The sequence below is a fragment of the Homo sapiens genome, chromosome 7 (assembly GCF_000001405.40).
Source record: "Homo sapiens chromosome 7, GRCh38.p14 Primary Assembly".
Classification (NCBI taxonomy): domain Eukaryota; kingdom Metazoa; phylum Chordata; class Mammalia; order Primates; family Hominidae; genus Homo; species Homo sapiens.
This window is the reverse complement of record NC_000007.14, coordinates 121,480,241-121,507,895: the sequence shown is the minus strand read 5'-3', so window position 1 is coordinate 121,507,895 and position 27,655 is coordinate 121,480,241. Positions and strand designations below refer to the sequence as shown.

Genomic DNA, 27,655 nt, shown 5'->3' with positions numbered 1-27,655 from the left:
ATAAAACTGCCTGTAAGAGTGACTCTTACACCAAATGAGCATGAGGCAGTCAGTGGAAGTTCTGTTTTGGTTGGGGAGATGTGGTCTGGACCACCAAGTATCAAGGCTTGACCTCCCCAGGAGGAGGTTGCACTAACCTAAAACCCTACATCCACTTTACCAAAAAGACTACTCCCTCTAATTGTCAACTCCAACAATGTAACCGTGTGCAAATCTCTACCACTGTCCCCACCTTTACCAACACTAACTCCACTTTAGGTCACTTCTATGGCCTAGTAGCTGATATTCCTGGAATAGACCCTATAGGATCCTTTGAGATCTACTTCATTGCTCCCCACCCCCTTCCCTTTCTCCTCCTTCTAAACCTCCCAATCAAATAGTTGTTCTTCCCATACCCTGTGATGAAACTACAGTAGACATTGTAGACGTTAAAGATTTAAAACAAACTTTAGCCATTGAAATGAGATTCCAAGATGCAAATGCCTGGCTGGAATGGATTAAATATTCTGTTCGCACGTTAAACAAAAGCTACTGTTACACTTGCACGGCAGGCAGACCAGAGGCCCAAATAGTCCCCTTCCCACTTGGATGGTCTTCTGACCAACTGGGCATGAGCTGCATGGTGAGTCTCTTTCAAAACCCCACAGCCTGGGGCAATGAGGCATGCAAGACTCTCTCACTGCTATTCCCTGAAGTGAAGGGCTCTGTGGGTCAGTCACTGATGGCCATCCGGCCTCCAGTGTCTGATGTTAATTTTACCTCGTGTCTCTCATGGCATGGGGAAAGATTAACGTCCCTTGGAGACCTGAAAAAGTACAGTGAAACCAAGACTTTCCAAGAGTTTACCAGTCAGACTGCCCTTGTTTATTCCCGAGTAGATGTATGATGGTATTGCGGTGTACTACTATTGGGTACTCTGCCATGTAACTGGAGTGGCACTTGTGCTCTGGTCCTATTGGCCACCCCTTTCACCCTGGCATTCCGTCAACATAAAAAGAAGGAGAATCAGACAAAAAGAAGTGCTCCTCATGGGTCTTTTGACCCTCACATTTATATAGATGCTATTGGGGTCCCATGAGTGGTACCAGAAGAATTTAAAGCTCAAAATCAAATAGCTGCAGGATTTGAATCTGCACTGTTCTGGTGATCAACTATAAACAAAAGTGTAAATTGGATAAATTACATCTGTTATTATCAACAGCAGTTTGTCAATTACACAAGAGATGCAATCAATGGAATAGCTGAACAATTAGGCCCCACCAGCCAAATTGTCTGGGAAAATAGAATAGTCCTTGACATGATGTTAGCAGAAGAAGGTGAAGTCTGTGTCATGATTGGAGTCCAATGCTGTACTTTTATCCCTAACAACACAGCCCCCAATGGAACAATTATAAAGGCCTTACACGGGCTTACCTCCTTATCAACTGAGTTAGCCAAAAATTTTGGAATAACTGACCCCTTCATGAGTCTCACGGAAAGATGGTTCGGTAAATGGAAAGGGCTTATGTCCACAATATTAACCTCTTGCAATTGTCATAAGTTTACTCATTTTTGTAGGATGCTGCATCATACCCTGTATCCATGGGTTAATGTCAAGACTTATAGAAACAGCTCTCACAAAACCCTCCCCTATCCCTCCTCCTCCATTCTCAGATAAGCTCTTGTTCCTAAATGATCAAGAAGAGCAACAAAGCCAAATCATACTAAAAAATTTTAAAGAGGAAGAATTGTCAAAAAGCAAAGGGGGAAATTGTTAGGTATGATAAATTCCTCTTCAAAATGTTTAATTGTATAACATTCTTGTTCTTTGTTCAAAAGCCCAACCTCCTTGCACTCTCGTTTCCAGCCTGCAAACAACTAGCCTCCTGCTCTAGTTGTGCCCTGACATGCCCAGACATATCCAGACATGCCTTGTACTCTACCAGGCGGACCACTCCTACCCTTTCCTCCTCTTACAAAGCACATGTTTACCCTATTTAGAAAAATTTAAGTCTTAGCCAATTGGGATCAGTTTAGATTGTGCGGTCCAACCCTAGCCAATAAAAGAAGGCCACAGGGACAGGAACTGCATTGGGGATAAAAACTCCTTCTCTTCTTTGTTTGGTGTGCTCTTGCGATCGTGACTGACACAGGCAGCACCCTTCTGCAGAAGTAAATTGCCTTGCTGAGAAAACTTTTTGTCTGAGTGCTGGTTCTTCCTTGCGGCACCCAGCATTTGTTTCTAACACCTTCCTGCCATAATGCTTAAATGTTTTCAATTGCATGCTTTATGTCACATTTCTCCAAAAATTCAGTTAAAGAAGTTGCATGATTTCCAGCTTGTAGTATCCATAGCCTGTCTTCAAGTTCATATAAGAAATGAGCCTTTAAAAGTTAAAACAACTCCCTTGGCCCATTGGCTGGATAATGCAGTTCTGTTGGTGCTAAAAAGCAAATTTTCCACATTCAGAAGTCACCAGGAGAATGAGGGTAACAGTAGTAGTGCTTTAAAAGTTAAACTACTTTGCTTACAGCATCTCTCTACTGTTGGGAAACCAGGAGGCAACACAACTCCATGTTTTGCTTTCTGTGAGTGAACTGAGTAACAGATGTGCAGTGACCAATCACTGACAGGCTTTTAAAGAGGTGATGTGAAGGTTGCTGATCATGATTGGTTGCATCTGTTGTTTACATAGCGATTTGTGGACCAATATGCTAGCAGCAAAGTTTGTACTTCCTGAAACATGGTCATGGAAATTCCAAAGAATACCTCACTGGTTGTGTCATATACAAGAAAATTTTGAATTGTTTCCACAATTAAGACACTGACTCCTAATCAAGTGTGTTAACCATGTAAGTGATGTTAACAACCTGACATTGTTTGGTTTGAACAGCACCACAGTCTTAATTGTGAGAGTCGAATGGGCTGTAGCACCCCCAGAAGCCTATGTATAATACTTGGTAGGTTCTGAAAATGTGTGAAATTTGTATTTACAGAGAGAAAAGCAACTTATAAAGTGTAGGAGTAGAAAATATAAATTTAGGGAAATGATAAAAGAAGCAGAAAGAAGAAATGAGAGTAAAGGAGATATTCAGTCAAGTGTCTGAGTAAGAAACTAGAATTTGCCTGGACTGCATTCTTTAGCTAATTCAAGGAATTTATGGACACAGGAACCGGGAAGCAGAGAGTGAGTCATCAGATCCTGGCATCAGGAGACTGCCTGGTGGAACAGTTTTAGCCTAAAGGAGAAGGTTCTGCTAGATTTCCATTTAAAAGAACCTTGTTTGTAAGGACCGCATTTAGATAAACATCCAGCGGACCTGGGGGTTTGAAGCCAGGTGGAACTACAACCCCCGTGTTTCTACTGCCCAGGAGAGCAATCAGTATTGGCTCCATAGCTTGAGGCTATGAAGTGGGACATCCACACTGAAACCGAGAAAAGAAGTGGGGCCCTGAGTACCTGTGTTACCAGAAAGGGGTCCAGATCCACGTCTCAAGAGAGGGTTCTCATGCAAGAAAGAATTTGAGGTGAATCCATAAAATGAAAGCAAGTTTGTTAAGAAAGTAATGGAATAAAAGAATGGCTATTTCATAGGAGGGCTGCATGTTGCCCATTTTTATGGTTGTTTCTTGATTATATGCTAAGCCAGGGGTGGAATTTTTATGCATCCCCTTTTTAGACCATATAGGGTAAATTCCTTACATTGCTGTGGCGTTCGTAAACTGTTATGGTGCTGGTGGGAGTGTAGCAGTGAGGATGACCAGAGGTCACTTTTGTCGCCATCTTGGTTTTGGTGGGTTTTGGCCAGCTTCTTTACTGCAACCTGTTTTATCAGCAAGGTCTTTATAATCTGTGTTTTGTGCTGACCTCCTATCTCATCCTGTGACTTAGAATGCCTAGCCATCTGGGAATGCAGCTCAGTAGGTCTTGGCCTTCTTTTACCCAGCCCCTATTAAAGATGGAGTTGCTCTGGTTCAAAGGCCTCTACAGCTGGCAACTTTTTATCATGAGAAGAAGCAACATATTTTATTTTGTTTACAAAGGTGCACTCATAGCCACTTAGCTCTACTTAACTCCAGCCAGACACCCCCACCACCATCCACTGCTGCTCTCTCATCAAGATTTCTCCTTATCAGCACCGCTTGTAAGCACAGGTTTCTAGGCTCACATCAGGCACTGAGTTTGTCGGACTCTTACCTTCTCTCCATTCACATTCACCAACAAGAATCCTTGGGTCCCTGCACCAGGTTATCTATATTATACAGCTTTGCTTTCCAAGTTGGTGAAAGAAAGTCTTACTTCCTAGATCTAAGACCCGACATACCTGAATACTCATTTCTTTCTTTTTCCCTGGAGAGAACAGTGTTCATTATTGAAGCGGCTATGTTGCTGGTGTATATACGCCAGGGTTCATTATCGTGTGTCACAAAAATTTAGGACACAGACACACAGGAGTAGTTTAGGAACAGAGATTTAATAGGCAGAAGAGAAAAGAAAGAGAAACAGCTCTCTCTATAGAGAAAGGGATCTCTGAGTAGAAAGGACTGGGTGGTAGTGGCAAATGCACCAGATTATATAGTCCAGTTTGAGGAGGTGGTGTCTGATTTACACAGGGCTCACAGATTGGTTCAATCAGGTATGACGTTTACATAGTGCCTGGGGAAGGCTGGGGCCCCACCCTAAGTCTATTATGCAAATGAATGCTCCTTGGCCGGTTCGGTCTTTTCTGCTCTTTCCTGTACACATGGCTGGCAGAGAAGGGAAGATGGTGCTGCCATCTTGAACATGTCTAGTTCCTAGTTCCTGTCAGCATTCACCCCTGCAAGCTCCCAGCTTGCTTGTCTATGTCTGCAGCTCGACTTTATAGGCTGCTCTTTGTTAGATGATTTGGGGCTACTTTTCATTAAAAAGAAAGGCCTTGCCGAGGACTCCCATACCTTTACTATCTGCCTAAGTGATTTCTTCTTAACTCCTATATCATTATCTACCACTGCTGGGCATGATTCCCCCTTCCTCGTGTTATTCAACTGAACTGGGGTCCAGGTGCCTGGCACAATAAGGCCAAATACCCACACCGAGGTCTGCAGTGGGAGTAAGGAGGGGTTTACTTTGCAGGGTGCCAAGCAACAAAAGAATCAGGTACTTCATGCTTAAGACCCGACCTCCCTGATGGCTTGCAAGCAAATATTTTTTAAAGCCAGGGGTAAATTCAGGAAAGCAGAAGTTATAGGCAAAATCATAAATTAATACAAGGAGGTTATAAGTTGGTTTGGTCTAAAAAGGTGAGCTATTTTGAAGTAGGGGCTTACAAGCCCTAAACAGATTCAAAGATGTTCTGATTATGCAATTGGTTAGGGAAGAGCTTTGTTTTAAAATTTGGGGTCAGCAGAAAGATGTGTTAGGTCTGGCTCCTGGGCATGACTTCTAGGCCCTTCAGGAGTAACTTTAGAACTAAGAACTGGAGTCAGAGTTCAGTCCTCAACTCTCCCTTATCTGAGGTCTACCTGCCAAGAAAAAAAGGCTTCTTCATTTTTTTTTTTTTTTTAATACAGACTATCACTTTGTCACCAGGGCTGGAGTGCAGTGTCATTTGCTGAAAGCAAAAAGCTCCAGTGAAAGGCTTTTGGAAATATCTACTTAAAAGATTTTACTTATCTGATGTCACATTGCCTTTTAATTTTTTTTTTTTTTTTTTTTTTTTTTTTGAGATGGAGTCTCTCTCTCTCTGTTGCCCAGGCTGGAGTGCAGTGGCATGATCTCTAGGCTCATTGCAACCTCCGCCCCCCAAGTTCAAGTAATTTTCCTGCCTCAGCCTCCTGAGTAGCTGGGATTGCAGGTGCCTGCCCGGCTAATTTTTGTATTTTTAGTAGAGATGGGGTTTCACCATGTTGGCCAGGCTGGTCTCGAATGCCTGACCTCAAGTGTTCTCCCCTCCTCAGCCTCCCAAAGTGCTGGGATTATAGGGATGAGCCACTGTGCCTGGCCTGCTAGTGGGTTTCTGGAAAAAAAAAAAAAACTCAGGGATATATACTAAGAGGTTATCTTTAGCTTCTGTAGAGAACATCTCATGATTCTAATTCCCTTGGCTATTTTTTTAAGCTACTATTACCTTCTTGCTTACCAAGTTACTCATTTACTTCTTAAGGATAGCTAGGTGCCTGGAATTTCCCTTGAAAGAACTTAAGATTTTCCTTTATTTCCATGCTTGGGAAGAGGAGGGCCCTGCTCCATCTTGTCTCGTTTCTATTTCCAATCTATCAGTTATATGTCCCTACCCATATCCACTGATTTCTTATTGGGAGTATTTTATCACAAACTATAAAATGCATTTAATTCTTACTCCAGAATACGAAGTCAGTTATTCTTGTTTATCTTTCTTCATGTTCACACATTTTCAGAACGGTATGCTACAGCTCATTTGACTCTCAAAATTAAGATTGTAGTGTTGTTCAAACTAAACAATGTCAGGTTGTTAACAACCCTTACAGAATTTTATTTTATATAAGGCTTGTTTTGTGTACTTGTAATTAAATAGTTGTTTCCCTTGTCTGTAAGTGTGGCCACAAGATTTCCTTTAGTATCTTTGAAATAAGTTTGTTGCCTTCTCCAAACAACTAAGCGACTAATACATGGTTAACACACTTGATAAGGAGCCAGTGTCTTAATTGTGGAAATAATTCAAAATTTTCTTGTACATGACACAACCAGTGAGGTATTCTTTGGAATTTCCATGACCATGCTTCATTTATCTTCTGGTTTTGTTTGTTTGTTTGTTTGTTTTGAGACGGAGTCTAATTCTGTTGTCCAGGCTGGAGAGCAGTGGCACGATCTTGCTCACTGCAAATTCTGCCTCCCGGGTTAAAGCAATTCTCCTGCCTCAGCCTCCAAGTAGCTAAGATTACAGGCATGTGCCACCAGGCCTGGCTAATTTTTTATTTATGTACTTATTTTTAGTAGAGATGGGATTTCACCATGTTGGTCAGGCTGGTCTCGAACTCCTGACCTCAAATGATCATCCCACCTCAGCCTCCAAAAGTACTGTGATTACAGACATGAGTCACTGCACCTGGCCCATTCATTACTGTAGTTTACTTGACTACAGGTTAATAAAACAGTGACTACTTAGAGACTTGAAATTAGGTAACTGGTTACAAAGGGTGGGACAGAGAAGCTGGGGATTCCAAAAATAAAATGGCTTTTATTTAGTATAACATAATACTATGAGGCAAAAGGCAGAGATGGCCCCAAATGGCCTATCAAACAGGCTTCAAGATAAACAGACCCGGTTTCTTCCTGTGACTTAAGCAATGCAAAGTTAATCCACACAGAAACTCCTCTGAGTATAGTTCATCTTAGGCCAGGGCTCTCATAAATCAATTTTGCATAAGAAACTCCAAAAATGTTATTAAATATGCAGCTACCCCAACTCCACCCTACAGAGATTGAATAAATTGGTTTGTGACTGCCCAGGAATCTGGGAACCACCTTTATTTTAAGTTCTGCCTCATGAGTTGACTTACTGCAAGATGTGAAAATACTGCACCTGTTTAAAGATGAATTAGCAAGAGCACTAAATGACAGACTTCTTTTTCATGACTTAGATATAGGAGATTATATATATACATATATATGTGTGTGTATCTCTAACTTTAGTGTGCATACGATTTACTTAGAAAGCTTTTAAAACATTGATTGCTGGCTTCCAACCTGAAGTTTCTTATTTCATAGGTCTGGGATGGGCATTGGAATTTTGCATTTCTATAATTACATGTTACCAAGAGTTACAGATGCTGCAGTTCTCAGTACCACACTTTGAGAACCACTGATTTATAGGATATGCCCCTGTTAGTTTACCTTTTGACTTCATGGTAAAGACAATTTAGAAACCAAAAGTCTACATATACTAATTAAGTGTCTAATGTTTGCTGGTTCTGACTTAGGTGTTGGCGATACAGTGATGAATTACACAGACATTGACTGCATCAGTTTGATATAAATAAGTAACCCATGTTACGATGGAGAACCATCTCCACTGCATGCCTGAAAATGTGAGCAATAGAATCCTAAGGGGGAAAAAATGACGTTTTGAAGATTGCTTTCTATTTCAGAAAAAGGTTATAACATAGATGGTAATTACTCACACTTTCCTTCTCGGGACACCACAGCTTTTCCACAGCAGTGTAACTGAGAGAAGAACTGATCAAAATACAGACAGCCAGACATGGTGGCTTATGCCTATAATCCCAGCACTATGGGAGGCCAAGGTGGGTGGATCACTTGAGGTCAGGAGTTTGAGACCAGCCTGGCCAATATGGTGAAACCCCATCTCTGCTAAAAATACAAAAATTAAGTGGGCATGGTGGCAAGTGCCTGTAATCTCAGCTATTCCGGAGGCTAAGGCAGGAGAATAGCTTGAACTTGGGAGGCGAAGATTGCAGTGAGCCAAGAGATTGTGCCACTGCACTCCATCCTGGGCAACAGACTGAGACTCTATCTCATAAAAAAAAAAAAAAATTAAAAGACAATGTGACATCAGGTAAGTAAAATCTTTTAAGTAGATACTTCCAAAAGCCTTTCACTGGAGGTTTTTGCTTTCAGTAAATGCCTTCAGCAGTTTATTCTTGAGTAGCACTGAATGACCTTGCATAGGTGTGAATGCAGTGCCCAGCAGCATTTAACAGAGTTTAAAGAAGCCAGGTCAATGGAAGAATTTTTTGAAAGTATATATTAGAATTAACTTGTATAGAGCAGAAACTTTGCACCAAGCACTCTGCTAGGTGCTTGAGAAGTAGTTTAGCATAATGGTTAAGGTCATAAACTTCAAAGCCAGATTATTTGGTTTTAATAGAGAGGTGACCTTGAGCAAATTACTCAATCGTTGATTTAATCATCTGCAAGGAGGAAATAGTAACAAAGTCTACTTCACAAAATCTTTGTAATAAACCAGTTATTACAGGGAAAGCACTAAGAACAATGTCCAACCCATAGTAAACACTGTATGTGTTAGATTTATGGTTTTTGACAAAATACATATTTTAATCTTAACAACACTAAGGTGTTTAAGTTCTGTCTTATTATTAGGTCTGTCTTAAAGTTGAGAAAGCTGAAGCACAGAGTTAAGTAACTTTCCCAAAGTCACAAAGTAAGTGGTGGAACTACTACTATCAACTCAGGCAGTATCACCTTGGAACTCACTTTCTTAATCTCAATGCCATGCTGCCCCTTGAGAGAACTGATTATTCAGCCTAGGCATGTAAGAAGACTTCTTCTCTAGAAAAAATTAATAATACAAAAAAATTAGGCAGGCATGGTGGTGTGTGCCTATAATCCCAGCTACCTGAGTGAAGGCTGCAGTGAGCTGTGATCATGCTACTGTACTCAAACCTGGGTGACAGAGTGAGATCCTGTCCAGAAAAATAAATAAATAAATAAACAAAAACTTATTTTTGAGAAGGCAAAGCTCATAACTTTTTTTGTTTTGTTTATTTTGTTTTTTTGGTTTTTTTTGAGATGGAGTCTTCCTCTGTTACCCAGGCTCGAGTGCAGTGGCACAATCTCAGTTCACTGCAACCTCCGCTTCCCAGGTTCATGTGATTCTCCTGCCTCAGCCACCTGAGTAGCTGGGATTACAGGCATGCATCACCACACCTGGCTAATTTTTGTATTTTTAGTAGAGATGGTGTGTTGTGGGAAGTCAGGGACCCCAAACGGAGGGACCGGCTGGAACCACGGCAGAATAACATAAATTGTGAAGATTTCATGGACATTTATCAGTTCCCAAAATTAATACTTTTATAATTTCTTATGCCTGTCTTTACTTTAATCTCTTAATCCCGTTATCTTCGTAAGCTGAGAATGTACATCACCTCAGGACCACTATTGTATAAATTGATTGTAAAACATGTGTGTTTGAACAATATGAAATCAGTGCACCTTGAAAAAGAACAGAATGACAGCGATTTTCAGGAAACAAGGGAAGATAACCATAAGGTCTGACTGCCTGTGGGGTCAGGCAGAATAGAGCCATATTTTTCTTCTTGCAGAGAGCCTATAAACGGACGTGCAAGTAAGAGAGATATCACTGAATTCTTTTCCCAGCAAAGAATATCCTGGGGAAGGAATGCATTCCTGGGGGGAAGTCTCTAAATGGCCGCTCTGGGAGTGTCTGTCTTATGGGGTTGAGATAAGGACTGAAATACACCCTGGTCTCCTGCAGTACCCTCAGGCTTACTAGGATTGGGAAATTCCAGCCTGGTAAATTTTTGGTCAGACTGGTTCTCTGCTCTCTAACCCTGTTTTCTGTTAAGATGTTTATCAAGACAATATGTGCACAGCGGGACATAGACCCTCATCAGTAATTCTAATTTTGCCTTTGCCTTGTGATCTTTATTGCCCTTTGAAGCATGTGATCTTTGTGACCTACTCCCTGTTCGCACACCCTCTCCCCTTTTAAAATCCCTAATAAAAACGTGCTGGTTTTGCGGCTCAGGGAACATCACAGACCTACCAATATGTGATGTTAGCCCCAGAGGCCAAGCTATAAAATTTCTCTCTTTGTACTCTTTCTGTTTCTTTCTCAGACTGGCTGACACTTAGGGAAAATAGAAAGAACCTATGTTGAAATATTGGGGGCTGGTTCCCCAGATAATGGGGTTTCACCATGTTGGTCAGGCTGGTCTTGAACTCCTGACCTCATGATCCACCCCCCTCGCCCTCCCAAAGTGCTGGGATTACAGGTGTGAGCCACTGCACCCAGCCAAAGCTCGTAATATTTTTATATGTAAATCTACTTGGAGCATATAACCCAACTGCAAGTCACATACTTTAGAAATATTTCCAGCCGATCCACATTCTCCTCAGAACAATGAGGAAATGAAGCCCTTGTTGTAATTATTCTTTACAGAATTGAGTTCTGTAAAGTGAACAGTGCCATTTAATAGAAAGAGCATTTCCTTTAAAGTCTGACAGACCTGCCCAGCTCTATACAGGCAAGTTAACATAAGTTATCTGAACCTGTTTTATCATCTGTAAAATACTGGCAGCACTATCAACTTCATGGCATTGTCTTGTGAATTAAATGAGATAATATATGTAAAGTGCCTAACCCAATCCCATGGCCATGGTGGGCATTTTTCAAAATATCAATTCCTTCCTTCGGTAAAAATCACAGAGGTGATAGTATATAATTCCTGCCAGAATCTATTGGTCACACAGTCCCTCCCTGGTACAGTATGGGAGGGCACTATACAAGGACATGAATACCAAGAGGCAGCAATCATTAGGGACCATCTGAGAGCCTGCCTTCCACAATGTCAAATCTGAACAATTCTATAGCTCTATCCAAAAGTATGCTGTCAATTTCAGGGTGGGATCTTGATTCTCTTCTGCTTCTGGAGTGGTGTCACCTCCTCGTTTCTTCTCTTCTACGGACTCCATGCACTTTTTTGGAAACACCTTTAATAGCAATGCTCTTCTTTTGTATTAGTCTTTACCTTTTACAGATCATTTTATTATCTTGTTTGAGCCTCACACAGCTAGAAAGAGGACAAAGCTGAGGTGCATATGTGTGTCATTCTGTTTCCAAGGTAAAGTTATTTTTAGTCTTCCAAAGCTAACTTTACAGCATTTACCTTGTCAAAATAACCATTCTATATTATTAATATTAGTGAAAGGGTCATAATCAACTGACACAGTTTAGAAAAGTATTTTTCTCTCTCCCATTATAAGTAATTTTTTTAGTCTGGCTAGACATCTTCAGCATTATTTTCTTATTTGTATTTTAAAATCTAATGATTACTTTCTGCTACTTTGCATTTTTTTAATCTGTCAAGTATAAGGGGTATAATTTTCTCAACTACAAAACATCTTGCCAAATATAGTCACATCCTTAAATGTTTTCCTATATTTTTTTAAAAAAACTAGTGACTTCAATTATTTATTTATTGGAGGTAAATGAGACAACTTTGACAAACTAATCTTCCCACTATAACAAATGTTATTTAGTACTGGGGATCTTTTACCACTGAAACTTTATATCTGCAAAGTATTTCTCTGAATCACAGAATCATGGTTAGACTTTCAAATTCACCCTGTTTTTCTATTTGGTGAACTGGCCCAGTAATTTAAAAAAAAAGTTAAAGAGGAAGTTTAACATCCACCCTACTTTCTTTTCTGTGCTGAGCCTTGAGTTCTCTAAGGCTCCACTTTCCCTTTCTCCTCATCTGGTCCTCACTTCTTCCCTGCAATCCACTACAGCCAAATTTGCCTCAAAAATAAATACACTTCCTGGCCTGGGATTGTGGCTCCTGCCTGTAATCCCAGCACTTTGGGAGACTGAGGCAGGCGGATCGCTTGAGCTCAAAGTATGAGACCAGCCTGGGCAATGTGGCGGAACGCTGTCTCTACAAAAAAATACAAAACATTAGCTGGGCATGGTGGCACGCACCTGTGGTCCCAGCTATTTGGGAGGCTGAAGCGGGAGGATCACTTCCACCTGGGAGGCTGAGGCTGCAGTGAGCCGAGATCATGCCACTGCACTCCAGCCTGGGCAACAGAGTGATAAATAAGTAAACATAACATATTTCCATCCCCCCAAAACATAGATCCTATATGTGCTTCTTTCCTCACCAAAAAGCATTCTCCTTTCCCATTCCTGAGTAAAAATATATTAATATTCTAGCATTTGGATAATCATATCTCTTTCTTCCATCTTCAGATCCCACCCCCTCTCTGCTACAGATGAGGTTTTCACCTGAGCTGCCAGGGTGGAGTATTGCTTCACCAGTATTTTCCCATTTACTTCTTCTATCCTTCTTCAGCTGAATGCTAGTCCTAAGGCAGTTTATTAACTCCTCACAGATCACACAAAACCATGGGTTCATAAATTGATTCACCAACCCTACTTGATGTTTCTGGGTAAACAGGGTAGATAGAATGAGCTCCTCTTACATTTTTGTATTTCGTAAAAACATATTTTCTAATATGGCCACTTAATGTGGGCTTATCTTAAGGTAGATCTTCACAAGCCACTATATTCTAGTTGCTTGAATAGCCCCTACTGTATTGATATTGTGATTTGTCTACCTATATGGCCCTATTCTCTCCAAGACATTTTTTCCCTCCACTTTTATTTCTGGAGTGTTGCAAAGGGCCTGGCACATAGTAATCATTCAGTAAGCTATGCATTGAATAAATATGCTTTTAAATGACCAAGGTATGACTCAAATTTCTAGATAAATCCAGTCAAAATATCAGCTGACATATAAAAACATTTACATTCCCTGGTAAACTTGTAAGTAAAATGCCATCTCTAAATTTTTCAGTTGAATGATGCACTTTCTTAAAAATGTGAATGGGAAAGTCTATTTTTTCTTAGAGTGTCAGTTTAAACAAAAATTATACATTTTAGACATAGATAGATACAGATATAGCTATAGACAGGGACTTCTCCTATAAATGAGGGAAAATAAAGTGCAGCTAGAAAGTTAACTAAATGAAGTTAACTAAGATCAATACATAGAACCTTAGCAGCAATATGTTACTGCTCTCTCTTAACCCTAAGAAACAAAATAGCTTTTAAAAGTGCAAATAGGGTGGATATAATTTTTCTTGCACTAACTTCAAAGCATATTTCAAGGTTTTCTGTTCAAAATTCCAAAATAAATCACTAAGTTGTTTTGTCAATAAACTGGGCAAATAAAAACCTATTTAGTACAATTACTATGGCATATTTTGGGGTTTCCTTCTCCCCGTTTGCAAAGTGCACAGGTGTTTAAACCAATCCTCACTAGATTTGGGGCAGAAAAAGAACAGGATGAGTTTAGAACATCTCACTATGCCAAAAGGAAGGACTTGTTTAGAGATTATTAAAGATATATCAAAAGGAGACTAGAGGCAAAACTAAAGACTCAGAAAATAAATCAGCGGTTGCTCTGGAGTGGAGCAAGGAGTTGACAATAAAGGGACTCAAGGAAATATTTTATTGTGATGAAACTATTCTCTATGTTACTTTGGTGATAGTTACATACTTCTATATATTGAGCAAAATGCATAGAACTATACCCTTAAGAGGATGAATTTTACTGTATGAAAACCACACTGCAATTTTACTGTATGAAAACCACACTGCAATTTAAAAAATAGTATACCTGAACTGAATTTGGCCTAGTGGCCAAATTTGGAACAATGTTTAACATGACAAAGAATAGTAACCACACAAAAAGCTGTAACTTGACTATTCAGAGTTTTATTTGTAATAGTTTAAAACGAGAAACAACCAAAATATCCCTCAGCAGGTGAATAATTAAACACATAGTGGCACACCACACATGGAATATTACTCAGCAATAAAAAGAAAATACTGCCGCTACACACAATAACTTGAATGGATCTCAAGGGCATTGTGCTAAACTTAAAAAGCCAGTCTCCAAAGGTCATTTGCTGTATAATTCATTCACATAGCATTCTCAAAATTGCAAAACGATAGTGCTAGAACACAGATTAGTGGTTGCCAAGAGTTAGGAATGGTGGGCGTTAAGGAGATGCCTATAACTATGCATGCAGCATGCTGGAAACCTTCATAGTGATGAAATAGTTCTGTATCATGATTGTAGTTATATTTACCTTAATCTACACATTTGATAAAGTGGCCCAGAAATATTGTACTAACGCTATTTTCCTGGTTTTAATATTGAATTATAGCTACCTAAAATGTAACCACAGAGGAAAACGAAGTGAAGCATTTTCAGGGCTTCTGTGCATTATTTTTGCAACTTCCTACACATTTATAATAATTTTAAAATTGAAAAGTAAAAAAGAAGATAATATTATTATACTAATAATATAAATGGTATAAGTAGAACATATAGAGAATGGCATAAGTAGAACATATAGAGAATGGCATAGAGAATGGTTGTATGTTTAATAAAAAGAGAATCCATGAGTCCGTAGTTATCTTAAGTACTGGGAAGGTGGGGTCTTTTTTTTTTTTAAACATGACCAATTGTATTAGTTTTTAAGTTATTTATTCACTTTTTCATATTTGCCTACAGTAAAATTTTTTAGTAGTATACAATTACATGAGTTAGATAAATGCATACAACCATGTAACTACCACCAAAATTAAGATATAAAATAGTTCCATCGTGCCAAAAATTCCCTCTTATTTCCCTTTGTAATCAATACTTTCCCCCACCCCAACCTCTGGTAGCAGGAGACATGTTTCTGTTCCTATATTTTGTTTCTTTCAGAACATCATATTTTACAAGAAATTCTACAACATGTAGTCTTTGAAACTGGTTTCTCTCACTTAGTAAAATGTATTTAAATTTAAGATTTCACCACGTTGTTTCATGTATCTGTAGTTTGTTCTTTCTTTTTCCCTGAGTAATATTCTACTGTATGGATGCAACATAATTTGTTTATCTATTCACCCACTGAAGAACATTTGGGCTATTTCCAGTTTTTGACAATTATGAACAAAACCACTATAAACATTCACATGCAGAGTTTTGTATGAACTTAGGTTTATAAAAGAGCTTTTTCCACAGAATGCCAGCAAATAAATATAGAAGAAATAACAAAATTAAAAAATCACTCATTTGCAACCAGTGAGATAAAAATTAATTCATGGAAAATCATCATTAAATGCAAAACTACTGAATGAAAGGTCATTAGGGAAGAGGATATTTAGGTGATCCCAAAGAATCACCTCACACAGGCCAGCTTCACGAGCGTGAGACCAGTCACACAGGGCCCTATACTAAGTAGTGCCTCCTGCTTGCTTTAATGCTCCATTATTGCCATATTGAAATTCTTAATAATTTTAAAACAAGGAGCCTAGCACTGTAATTTTGTACTGTGCTCTGCAATTATGTAGCTAGTTCTCCACCCTAGGTGACTTTCTGAAAAGGTAATTTAGCAAAGGAGAAACCTAGAAGTCCCCTTAACTGAATGATCTAATTTGGCATCATCAATAGTAGAAAACACTATTATGTGTCCCCTGAATTCGTACAATGGCAAGCAAACATCACCTATGTAGTCTTCTTGTCAAAAATATTTAACCGGCAAGGTGCAGTGGCTCATGTCCGCGATTACAGCACTTTGGGAGGCCAAGGCAGGAGGATCATTTGAGTCCAGGAGTTTGAGACAAGCCTAGGCACCATAGTGAGATCCTGTCTCTACAAAACATTTTAAAATTAGCTGGGCATGGTGGCACGCACGGGTGGTCCCAGCTACTTGGGAAGCTGAGGTGGGAGGATCGCTTGAGCTCAGGAGGTTGAGACTGGGGTGAGTTGTGTTTGCACCACTGCACTCTAGGCTGGGCAATAAAGGGAGACTTTGTCTAAAAAAAGAAAGAAAAGAAAAGAAGGAAGGAAGGAAAGAAGGAAAGAAAGAAAGAGAAAGAAACAAAGAAAGAAAGAAAGAAAGAAAGAAAGAAAGAAAGAAAGAAAGAAAGAAAGAGAAAGAAAGAGAGAAAGAAAAGAAAGGAAAGAGAGAGAGAAAGAAAGAAAAGAAAGAGAGAGAGAGAAAGAAAGAAAAGAAAGAAGAAGAAAAGAAAAGTTTAACCAAAACCTAACCATGAAGGAACAATCACACAAATCCAGATGGTAGGACAATTCCATGAAAATGGTCTAGACTCTTCAAAAATGTCATTTTGTGAAAGACCAAAAAATGTTCAGGAAGGGGGATAGTTCTAGAAATATAATGATCAACTGCAAATCCTTGATTGGATTCTTTATTTTTTTAAAGAAAGATGTATATTTGGGGAAAATTGGAAAACTCTGAATAGGGTCTCCATGTTAAATACTATTTTTGTATCAGTGTTACATTTGGGGGTAATAATAATAAGCATAGATGGTCTTTTAGTTTGTTTGTTCGTTTTAAAGATGGGGTCTTACTATATCACCCAAACTGGAGTGCAGCGGTGTGATCATGGTTCACTGTAAACTACAACTCCTGGGCTCAAATGATCCTCCAGACTCAGCCTCCCAAAGCGCTGGGATTACTGATATGAGCCACCAGGTCCAGCCAGTAGTTTTACATTTTAAATGATATTTATGCTGAAATACTTAGGGATAAAGGTTCATGATGTCTAGAACTAATTTTTAAATACGTAATTTTTTAAAAAATGTTAAATGATGTACATATATTTAAATCTATTTAGAGAGACAGAGATAAAGCAAATGTGTCAAAAAATTTTTAAATCCCAAAACCTTTTATTCACAACTTCGCTAGTCAGTTTATCACATTCTTTCTTTTTTTCAACTTTAGCATTACATATAAAACATATATTATAAGAACGTGCATTTTGGAATGCAATCTGGGTCCAAACTCTGTCTCTGTTCTTACTACGGGTTTAAACTTGGGTCAAGAACCATGGGGAGAAAAGTAACATTAATATCTATTGCACAACTTGTGGAAATGTTTCAAATAATAAATTACAGACACGAGAAACAGCACCATCAAGTCCTTGAGAGCCACGTATATACTCATTTTTTCATTATTGTGTCCTGAATGCTCAGCAAAGCAACTCAGTAAGTCATCAAAAATATAGAGAGAATGAATTATTTTATGATCTATAGTATATCAAGTAGAAAGTGTCATGTTATATTAAGTGAAAAAGTTCCAAAACAGCATGTAGAGTAATGATTACATTATGGAAACAAATAGAGAGAGAGATATATATATTTTAAAATTCTGCAATCATTCTACCAAGCCCACCCTCACCTCACAATCCCTACCATCTTTGCTTAGAGAGAGAGGGGGCCACAATTATCTGGTATACAGAGGGTGGAGTGATCAGCACCAAAGATCTTTGCCTAGAAACTGGAAAGTGTGACACATTGATATATGCATGTTGATTTATATCAGTCAATATTAAACATATAGCACCCAAATTTCCATATTCAGTCCTCATGCTTCATCTCCTCCATTTATCTGCTCTCCTGCTCCATAAGAATCTCAGGAGTTACTGCAGTTGTGTCTGGAGTTTGGGAGTTAGGGAGGAGGAAGTATACAGCCATTGATCAAAAATGCTCTGCTTAATACACTTCCCTCCCTGATCAATAGCTTTACATTTTTAAGAGAGGAGATTCTTGACTCAGAAGGGATGTTGGTACTTAGATTTTATTTCTTCAAGGAGATTGCACCTGTCTTCATTTGTCTCGAAGTGTTCATGATCTGTTGAACTCTGGGCTCTGATGATGTCCTCGAAAGCAGGCCAGTTTTCTTCCATGCACCCCCTGCAGCAGGAACAGGTTATGTTAATATGGGTTAATGCAAAGTCAAAAGAAGAGGAGAGAACAGAGATGAGAACAAGCAGTAACTGAACCAGTGTGGGGGAAAAAGGAAAAAAACAAACAGATGGGAGTAGGGATTGGGAAGATCTTCAATAAATATGTGAAACTGGCCTTCACCAACTTTTACATACTTTTCATGACATTATGTGAGCTGCTCTTAAAGAGCAAAGGGAAAGTGGCCACCACTAACTACTAGGGCTCCCTCTCTTGCTTTCTAATTTAATTTTTATTGCATTCAATAAAACATTAATCTCCTCACCCTCCAGTCCTATAGCTCAGTAAATACATTTAATTATTTTACCAGTCATGTCTGATAGTCATCTTCTTATTTTAAAATGAGATGCTCTATTAGTCAGGATTCAATGAGAGAAGCAAAACCAGTAGGAGATAGTTAAGAGATTGTTGCAAGGGATTGGCTTATGTGAATTCATGGGGCAAGCCATCAGGAAGGACAAATTAGAACACCTGGGATTTGGCTGAAGCTGTTCTACACTGGTGACGTTCAACTCCACTCTTAAGTCTTTTCAACTGATTAAATCAACCCCACCAAGATTATCTAGGATAATCTCCTTCACTACTTTAATCATATCTATAAAATACCTTCAAGGAACACCTGGATTAATATTTGGTTGAGTGAGGACTATAGCCTAGCTAAACAGACAAATCGGAAGGCCATCACTCATGCTTACATCACCATTTCTTGATTTATCCAGTTTCTATGTTATCACTTACCTTATTATTAAGTTGAAGATTTAGACTGTTTACAGCCTCCACCCTCTCGCTGTCCCCCAGGAAACTCCCCGCAATATAGTTATAATGTATTTGGGGTGGATAAACCAATATTCAGTGTTTACATTGTTAAGTCTGCATAAATATTACTCACAGCAGAGACAAGTAATATACTACTGGGTTACCTTTCTTATATAACTGTTGATTTCCTGAAATTAACTCTCCTTTTGTGGTGTCTTTTAATTTCTTTGTGCCTATCACTAATTTTGTCCTAAACTTTTGCACAGAACTCTACAACTCCTTTTAATATATTTAAGCCCATGAAGCGATCTGTCAACTGGATTTTTTTCCTTGGAGACCTCTCCATCCTCCTGCTCTGATCTGGAAGCATTGCTCTCTAAGCCTGCTGCAGGTGTGTCCTCCTGGAAGTTTCCTTCACCTTCAAAGTGAAAGTACCCTTTCCCCCTTTCTTATGTGGAATTCTCCTTCTCCTGGCTCCTGGATCTCCTTTGTTCTTGGCTTATTCCCTGATTAATCACCCTCCATAACTTCCTGAGAAAATAAAATATGTTGAAGAATCATTTTCACAAAGGCAAAATTATGACTTATGGAAACAGAAAATGAATACATGTCAAAGTCAGATGTCATGACCGGTGCAAAGATCATTTGAAAAGCTAGATATTAACAGGAGGATAACATTGCTGGGTTAAATGCGAAACTGGTTAATGCCCAATGCAGTTGTAAACCATAATTTTGAGGGTCACTTCTTCTACTGGGCAGGAAAGAGATTATTTATATCTCTATCAGAAAAATCTAATTATTAACATGTGACTTTACTAAGTCTGAAAACTTTATTCAGTAGTAAACCATGAATAAAATCAAAACTTTCCGTTACATCAATGTCTCACAATATCTTTTCATTTTCTTATCCCTAACAAGCCTTTTTAGACATATTTTCTAATTTCGATGTTTTAATACCACAGATTTATTGTATATTTGTTCATGTACTATATGTATTTCTATACTTATATGTAAAACTATTAAGCATAAAGCTTAGTGTTTTTATTCAATTCAGAGTTAAGAATAACTTTTAAGTTAACAATTAAATTAGCATTTTAAAATTTTCTGACTTTTAACTTTATAAGTGTATTTGATGGGTAACTTTTCATGTAACTTATTACATAAATTGTAATTCTCAAATTACATATGCAAATTAGCAATTTATATAAATACGTGACAATATAATCAGACTATTAAAAATAATTAAATCTTTTCAGCAAGAATAAAACTATTAAAAGTTGAATTAATTTTATAAAAATTATTTTCAGTGAAATTAGCTTTTAACTTTTGATTGATATAAGAAAATAACTTCCAGATATTCATTCAGATGATGTGGACATTTTGTCTTTTTAGGCTTGACATAATTAATGATGGCCTGAATAACTTTATAAGAATCAAATAATAAAATATAAATTATTTTTACTTAATTCTCAAGGTCCAAGTCACACATGAAAACACTGATGATCAAACAATATCACATTTTCTGGACTTTATTTTCTGTGTCAATATTGAATTTATTTTATGTTTTGGTATCTAAGAGCTCCTTCTTATTCTTTGCACATCCTTAAAAATAATATCATATTTTTGTTTCATGGATGGAATATCTTCTCTCATTCATCTAATGATATTAGTTATAATGGACTTTTTGTACAGTTCTTATATTGCCTGTTTTTACTGTGCTTTTTCTTTCTCATATTACAGACTTTCCAAAAACATCTGTTGATCATTGGTTGTCTGTTCATAATTAAGAGAGAAAAACTAAAAGCAATTTGAAGATTTTATAACATGGACAGGAGGGCTTGGGAAATAGTGAAGATCCCCTATTTGGAGTGGGAAAAGATATTACCTTGGATTTGCCCAGTACAAGTTCCTAACATATTCTGAAACATTCCAGAAATAAGAGGCTGCCTCCATGAACATTTTTTTAGCCAGTACTCTTTACGGTAAAGTAAGTATTAGAACTGGATGTTTGTTGACAGTACTAGTCAATAACATACTTGAGCTGTTCTCTCTCAGGTCATTTGGGTTGTGATATGTGGTGTAGCAGGGAGAAGTGAAAAACTAGAGAATTAAAAATACCACAGGGTTGATCAACTCTACTACTTCAATATGTTCAAGTAACAGTTTTGTTGTTGTTGTTGTTGACCAAGTAAAATGCCAAGGTCTTTATTATAGATTGAACTCTGTCCCTGCAAAAATTATGATCCTGATCCCCTAGTACCTCAGACTGTGACTGTATTTGAAGATAGGGCCTTTAAAGAGGTGATTAGTTAAAATGGAGGTTCTTAGAGCAGACTGTAATTCAATCTGTGTGGTGTCCTTATAAGAACAAGAAATTTGGACACACAAAGAAAAGACACCAAGTGCACGAGTACCCAGAAGGACAACCATGTGAAGAGGCAGTGAGAAGGTGCCACCTGCAAGCCCAGGAGAGAAGTTGCCACCTGCAAGCCCAGGAGAGAAGTTTTGGAAGAAACCACACCTGCTGACACCTTGGTCTCCAACTTCCAGTCCCAGAGTGAGAAGAAAATAAATTTCTGTTATTTTTACCACCCAGTCTGTGATCATTTGTTACGGCACGTCTAGCAAACTAATGTAGTCTTCCAGTAGGCTTTATCTAATAATAACACCCCCTTCCCATTTAGCATGGAAGCCTGAATCAAAGGGGTTGTTGAGCTCATCCTGTTCATTTAAATGTAGCACGATCCATTGAGAAATGAACACAGATACCATCCTCAGGCAAAAGCATGTGCTTAGAAATGCCATCTGGCAGTCCTCCTGATATCCCCACTCTAATAAGAAAAGTAAGTCAGGCTCTTAGATGCAATCAACAGGTGACTAAGAAAAAAAAAGTTTATTTAAAGCATATTTAAAAATCTCAAAATTGCTAGGAAGGCTAGCAAACCAGACTTCAGGCTAACTTTTCAGGACAAAAGCCCAAAACCTCATGACAGAATTGGCCTGATGAAAAAACCTGCTGTCGCTGCTGCCTTCCCACCTAGTACTAAAGGAAACTTGGCAGATGCCACCCCCTTGGTGCTACTTCTGTGCCAGGAACTCTGCCTCGAACCCTCTGGGAAACTGCCCTTCCACTGCCAAGACTGAAAGTTGAATACATCTGCTGTGGCAGCCTCCGCCAAAATGGAAGTTTCCCTCAAAGCCAATCCCCTCTCGTTGCTTCTGATACATGTAGCCTAGGCCCAGCGTCTGCATTTTATCTGCCGGCAAGCCTCAAAATTTGAGTTGTGACATAACAAAGAAGCAGGTCTCATTGTCTGGGAATTTATCCAAATACTGAGGGATCTTTCAAAGATGAAGGTTAACCTTTACAATTACAACATTATTAGAGACCAATTCAGACTTGCTGCTATGACTTACTAACCTTCATTTTCCTTTCAGCACTCAGTTTTGTATCTTCTCCCGGAATTTCAGCTTCTGTAACCCTAGATGAAATCCTCATTTCAACCCCTGGAGTGATGCTTATTGGCCAAAATAGCCTATCCAAGCTTTCTCTCTGTAGAAGCAAGAGATGGAATTAAGACAGGAACTTTGTCCCTGTGTCCCCACTGATAACCAATTTCAGATGACTTGTCTATGGTGTCTGTTAATGAAGCAATTTGTTGAAATCAATTAGATAAAACATAAAACAGCTGCTCAAGGAAGTAGATGCTGTTAATCTTAGGAAAAATATTATTTGTATTTCTTAAACTGACAATGATTCAGTATACAGGTTTCTTTTGTTTTTTGTTATTAATAGAATGATAGGGTGTGTTTTGACAATGGGACTAATATTAAATTAGATGTGCCACTTGGGAAAAAAGCCATATTTTCATAAGTAAAAAATAGACAAGTTCATACTGATGGAATATGTCTAGCTCACAGTAATCTTTTGATGCCTTGTCCACATAACTATCTTTTGTATCTCCAAAAAAAAATTTGAGGACAATTTTGAGACCCTGGTGTCATCATTTGTTGCTTTAAACTTCACCACATTTCCTTTTGCTTCCATTTCTACCACACACCTATATGGGAAACCCAACTTATAATCCTTCTAAAGTATTACATCCCAATTTCTTAAACTCCCAAAAATCTTTTCTCTGACCACATCGTATTTTCCTCTCTCCTCTTCCTGTATTATATCTACTGAACTTATTTTCTCATTGCACTGTGACTTCCAAGCCCTATATATTTTTCCATTCTTCTATTACATCACCTTTTCTTAACTTAACTTGCCATCCAACTGGGCCAGAATCCCATGACCACATCCCAAATTCTCACCATTAGGTAACTCTGCCTTTCTTTTGCTCAGCTTCCACATCAAAGCTGCCAAACTTCGTGAGAGAAAGTCATAAAATCATGCCAGTGAGATTGTTAAGCATGTATCCTCTAACTTCAGGTGTCTGCCATGCTCCCCCTAATTCATATATATTATTTCATGTAAATGTCCTAATTTCATAAATTGTTCAAAAAACTTATTTCCTTAACCTGTCTCTACCTAACCTCTTACCTTTGCCAGATGAATATTTATCTTTTACTCAATTGAGCAATCATCCACACCAAACCCATGCTGCCTGCCCAGAGATGAAATGCTACAAATAATAAGGCATAAAGTGTGATTATATAAGATTATAACATGTTGTTCCCATGGCCACAACCCTGATTTGGGTTCATATGCAGGGGCCAATTTGCCATGAAGCAAATAAGCTTTGTGGCCCTTCCTTTTTACCATCCCAAGACCTTGGAAGGTACCTGCATTACTTTTTCTGTTGCTGTTTGATAAATTACTTCAAGTTCAGCAACTTAAATAGCATAGATTTTGTCTCTCAATTTCTTTGATTTGGAAATCAAGGTATGGCTTAGCTGGGCCCTCTGGTTCAAGTTTTCTCATAAGGCTTCAATCATGGAGTTGGCCAGAGCAGGAGTCTCATCTGAAGGTTTGACTTGGGAAGGACTGACTTCCAAATTTATGAGGTTGTGGACAAATTTTAAGTTCTTCAAGGGTTGTTGGTCTGGCAGCTTCCTGCTGTTAGCCAGAAGCCACCCTTAATTCCTTATCACAGGAGCCTCCATAATATGACAACTTGCTTTATCAAAGCCAGCAAGGAAGAGAATCAGCTAGCAAGACAGTAGTGACTTATGTGTCTTAATCCCATCACGTTGCTCACATTCTGTTGGTTAGAGCAAGCCACTAGGCCAGGTTACACTCAAGAAGAACGGCTTACACAATGGGCTAAATACCAGGAAGCAGGGATTTTTGGGATCCCGGGGCCCTAGCAAAATATTCGCTAGGTCATATAATTTAATAAATTTTCAAAAATAAGACATTTTATCTGCAAATGGTTAAGACCACTATCTCCAATTCTACTTTCCTTCCATCACATGTCCCCTAGGAGCACCCCACCCTCCCTTGTCAGGTGGCATTGGAATGATTACAGGAACTTTGTAATACAGATAAGATGGAATTGAGGTGGAGATACATTTAGTTTGGGTTTTGGGTTTTGTGCAGTATGCTAAGTGGTTTGTAGTCAGTTCTTTGGGTAACTAATTTATTTCCAGTTACTCTGGTATAGGACTGGTTTTTAGAAATACACCAATTCCCTACGATGCTGACTCAACCAGCTTTGTGAGATAGAACAGAGGTCATACCTTTATATGAACATGTTCTCAGGCTTCCAGCACTGGCAGAGTTAGGGGATGAAACAAAATATTGAAAGGTATAGAGCCAGAAGCTTTTTTAAATGGGGTAAGTTCTTTCAATAATTAGCTGTGTGTGGCTGGAAGTGGAAGAATCGGTTCTTGACAAGTTCTGTCTTGCCAAGAATACATTCAATAATTCAGCATCTGCAAACATAAACATGCCATTTTTTTTCTTTTCTGATGGCTAATTTGTGATATAGAATTATTAGATTTCCGGGCATAAAACAAGAGCAAGTACGTCTCTGGGCAAAGTTGTATGTTTTATGTATTCAAACATACTAGAGGCCATCCTAGTGTGAAATTAGCAGGAACAAGTTGTAAAATTGGAAGAAAGTTCCTAAACTATCAATTGTTTTTTAAACTATTACTAATCATACCACAGAAAAAAGTAAATCATCTTTCTGTTCTCCTTATAGAAACTTATGTCACATGTCATAGGAAGAGGCAATTAAATGAATACATAGCTAAAAAGTGTAAGAAATTAAAATGTTATAAAATGTGTCAGGTTGTTGATTAAAATATTCTGATTTCTTTTTAGTTTTGCTCATAATTATGGTATTTCTTAGCCTTTAAAATACATAATTATTTTCTTTAAAAAATTTAGTTTGAAACTCAATTTTGTATTCGTTTTTTTAAAGTGTCCAAACTGCATTAGCTTTGGGGCCCTACAAAACCTGTTTGGCCTGGGCAAGGGTAGCAGCTTTCTAAATAATCTTCCTCACTTCACTCACTTCTATTCAAACCCATATTACTCACAGGTTCCAAACAATCTTCCTAAGGAAACAGTCAGTGGTCTGTGAAAAAATCTTTACTGTCTCCCCATCATAAAAGTTACCTAAATTCTTCATCCTGATAAGTAAGGATCTCAGTCTAATTTTCATTTTTACTGTCAACAACTACCTATTTTAGTTTCAGTTTTCTCTGCCATGATAACTATTTGCAACAAAACTACTTGCTGTTATAGAGGCATCACTTTTGGTCATTTCTCTCATCATTTTCCCTTTATTATCATTTTTATTTTTCAAAATCATTTTTATTTGCTACCCATTCATTAAGAGCTATCTCAAATGTTGTTTCTCTCATAAACTTTTTTCCCTGCTCTCAGAGCATGATAGCTTCTCCTACCTTCTGCATGTTTATAGCATTTTTACTCCATTCTCAGTGTTTTTGTGTTTCACCACTGTGTATTGTACTTTTAACATTTTTTAAAAAAATATTCTTATTCTCCTTATAAATCCTAAACTCTATGAAAGCAAATATTGCTTCTTTTTCATCATAACCTCTCTAGCACCTCTTAAGCTGTACTGGTAGAACAGTAAACATTATTATCTATACATAATTGAATGAATGGATAATGCAACCCTTGAATAATAAATGAATTCATTCATTTATTTCTTCATAATAAACAAATATTTATTGAGGCCATACTGTGTGCCAATACCTGTGGCCATTGCTGAGAATCTAAAAACATGCAAAAAAATAAATAAATAAATAAAAAATAAAAAATGTGCTCCTTGCCTATAGGAGGTAACATTCTAGTCAGGCAGACAAACATTAATGCAAGAATCACTCTAACTAATATAAAATTTCATCCTTAACAGGGTCTATGTAGTAAAGATGCATAGAACTGACTGTGTACAGTACGTATGATTTTAACCATTCAGGACAATTTCATGTACATTTCCCACGATGAACCAGAGATACCATTTCATTTTTAAAAGTCTTCTGCAAGGAAATAGCTAAATTATATTTGATTTTATTTAACTATTTCCATAATGTGTAATTCCTTAACTAATGCATTATTTCATTTCGAAAACTTTACAAGATTAGAACAATGGTTTGTCTCATTTCTTAAAAATCGGCATGTTTTTGGTGCTGCTTTCTGAGGGCATGAGTGAAATTGAGAAGGCCGAAGCTTAGTCCTTTTTTCTGGGTATAATGCTCCTTTTATGTGCATTGTGGCTGTTGATAGCTGAGCTGATCCTGTCTGTAGTGTTCTTTCTTAGTCTGTCAGCCGCTGACCAATGTCTTTGCTTCCACTAAGTATCTTGTCCTGCAACCTGCATTGTAGATGGTCTGCCTGCTGCAGAGGTTTCTCAAATTAGGTTATGTAATCAACTGAATTCTGTACACCCAAAAAAGATTTGCTGCAGTCCTCACTCCCCAAATCTCAGAATGTAGCCTTATTTGGAGACAGGGTCTTTACAGAGGTAATCAAGTTAAAATGAGGTCATTAGGGTAGGTCTCCATCCAACATGACTGCTGTCCTTTAAAAAAGAGGATATTTGTGAAACAGAGACAGACATTTACAGAGAAAAGAGGATGTGAAGACACAGAAAGAATGCCGTCTACATGCAAAGAATGCCGGAGGCTGCCAGAAGCTAAGAGGGAGGCACAGCCCTCAGAATGAACCAACCCTGCAGAAACCTTAATCTCAGCCTTCTGCCCTCCAGGACTGTGGGACAATACATTTCTGTCATGTAAGCCACTTAGTTTGTGGCACTTTGTTATGGCAGCCCTTGAAAACCAATACATGGTATATTGTCACAGCAAAATTTGTGCAAAACTAATATCTCCAGGATTTTTATCCTCGAGGATTTTTATCTCTCTAGGATTACTTACATTTAAGCCTGAACGCAAATTTGGAAACAGCACGCACTGTTTAAACAGTATATGGTCATTAAAATATAAGAACCAAAAGCTCTGTTGGTATCAACATTTCTTTTCTGGGACTTACTTAACTTCACCAGGCGAATCTGGCTGGGACTTCCTCTTCTCTGTGCTGCTACCCTGAGGGCAGAATGAAAGAATCCAAAAATGCTTTTCAGCTCAGGATGAAAGGGGAATGTGCAAGGAGCACAATGTAGTTTTATGTAAAAGTCTCTTAAT

The 27,655-nt window shown here is 38.2% G+C and overlaps 3 long non-coding RNA genes across 3 annotated transcripts in view, besides 2 other annotated features; 2 read left to right on the top strand and 1 right to left on the bottom strand.

The window, feature by feature from the left end:
• Window positions 1-27,655, top strand: part of LOC124901737 (uncharacterized) — a 60,247-nt gene that overhangs the window by 3,299 nt on the left and 29,293 nt on the right. The window lies entirely within an intron of this gene.
• Window positions 1,635-2,834: an enhancer, noted in NCBI's record as "MED14-independent group 3 enhancer chr7:121145116-121146315 (GRCh37/hg19 assembly coordinates)". NCBI's record gives its function as "activates an origin of replication core promoter dependent on BRD2, BRD4, P300/CBP and CDK7 cofactors, and independent of MED14, by STARR-seq in HCT116 cells {active_cell/tissue: HCT116}" and the evidence as "EXISTENCE:reporter gene assay evidence [ECO:0000049][PMID:35650434]".
• Window positions 2,737-19,655, top strand: LOC105375478 (uncharacterized). Its single transcript, XR_927917.2, has 3 exons — window positions 2,737-2,832; window positions 7,922-8,029; window positions 19,297-19,655. It is a non-coding gene; the product is annotated as an uncharacterized LOC105375478 (long non-coding RNA).
• LOC124901736 (uncharacterized) lies at window positions 18,089-22,577 on the bottom strand. The gene is made up of 2 exons (XR_007060495.1): window positions 22,452-22,577; window positions 18,089-18,223 (listed from the first exon to the last, which is right to left on the bottom strand). It is a non-coding gene; the product is annotated as an uncharacterized LOC124901736 (long non-coding RNA).
• Window positions 26,414-26,919: an enhancer, noted in NCBI's record as "H3K27ac-H3K4me1 hESC enhancer chr7:121121031-121121536 (GRCh37/hg19 assembly coordinates)". NCBI's record gives its function as "activates a minimal SCP1, AML or CMV promoter by ChIP-STARR-seq in naive H9 embryonic stem cells {active_cell/tissue: H9 hESC(naive)}" and the evidence as "EXISTENCE:reporter gene assay evidence [ECO:0000049][PMID:30033119]".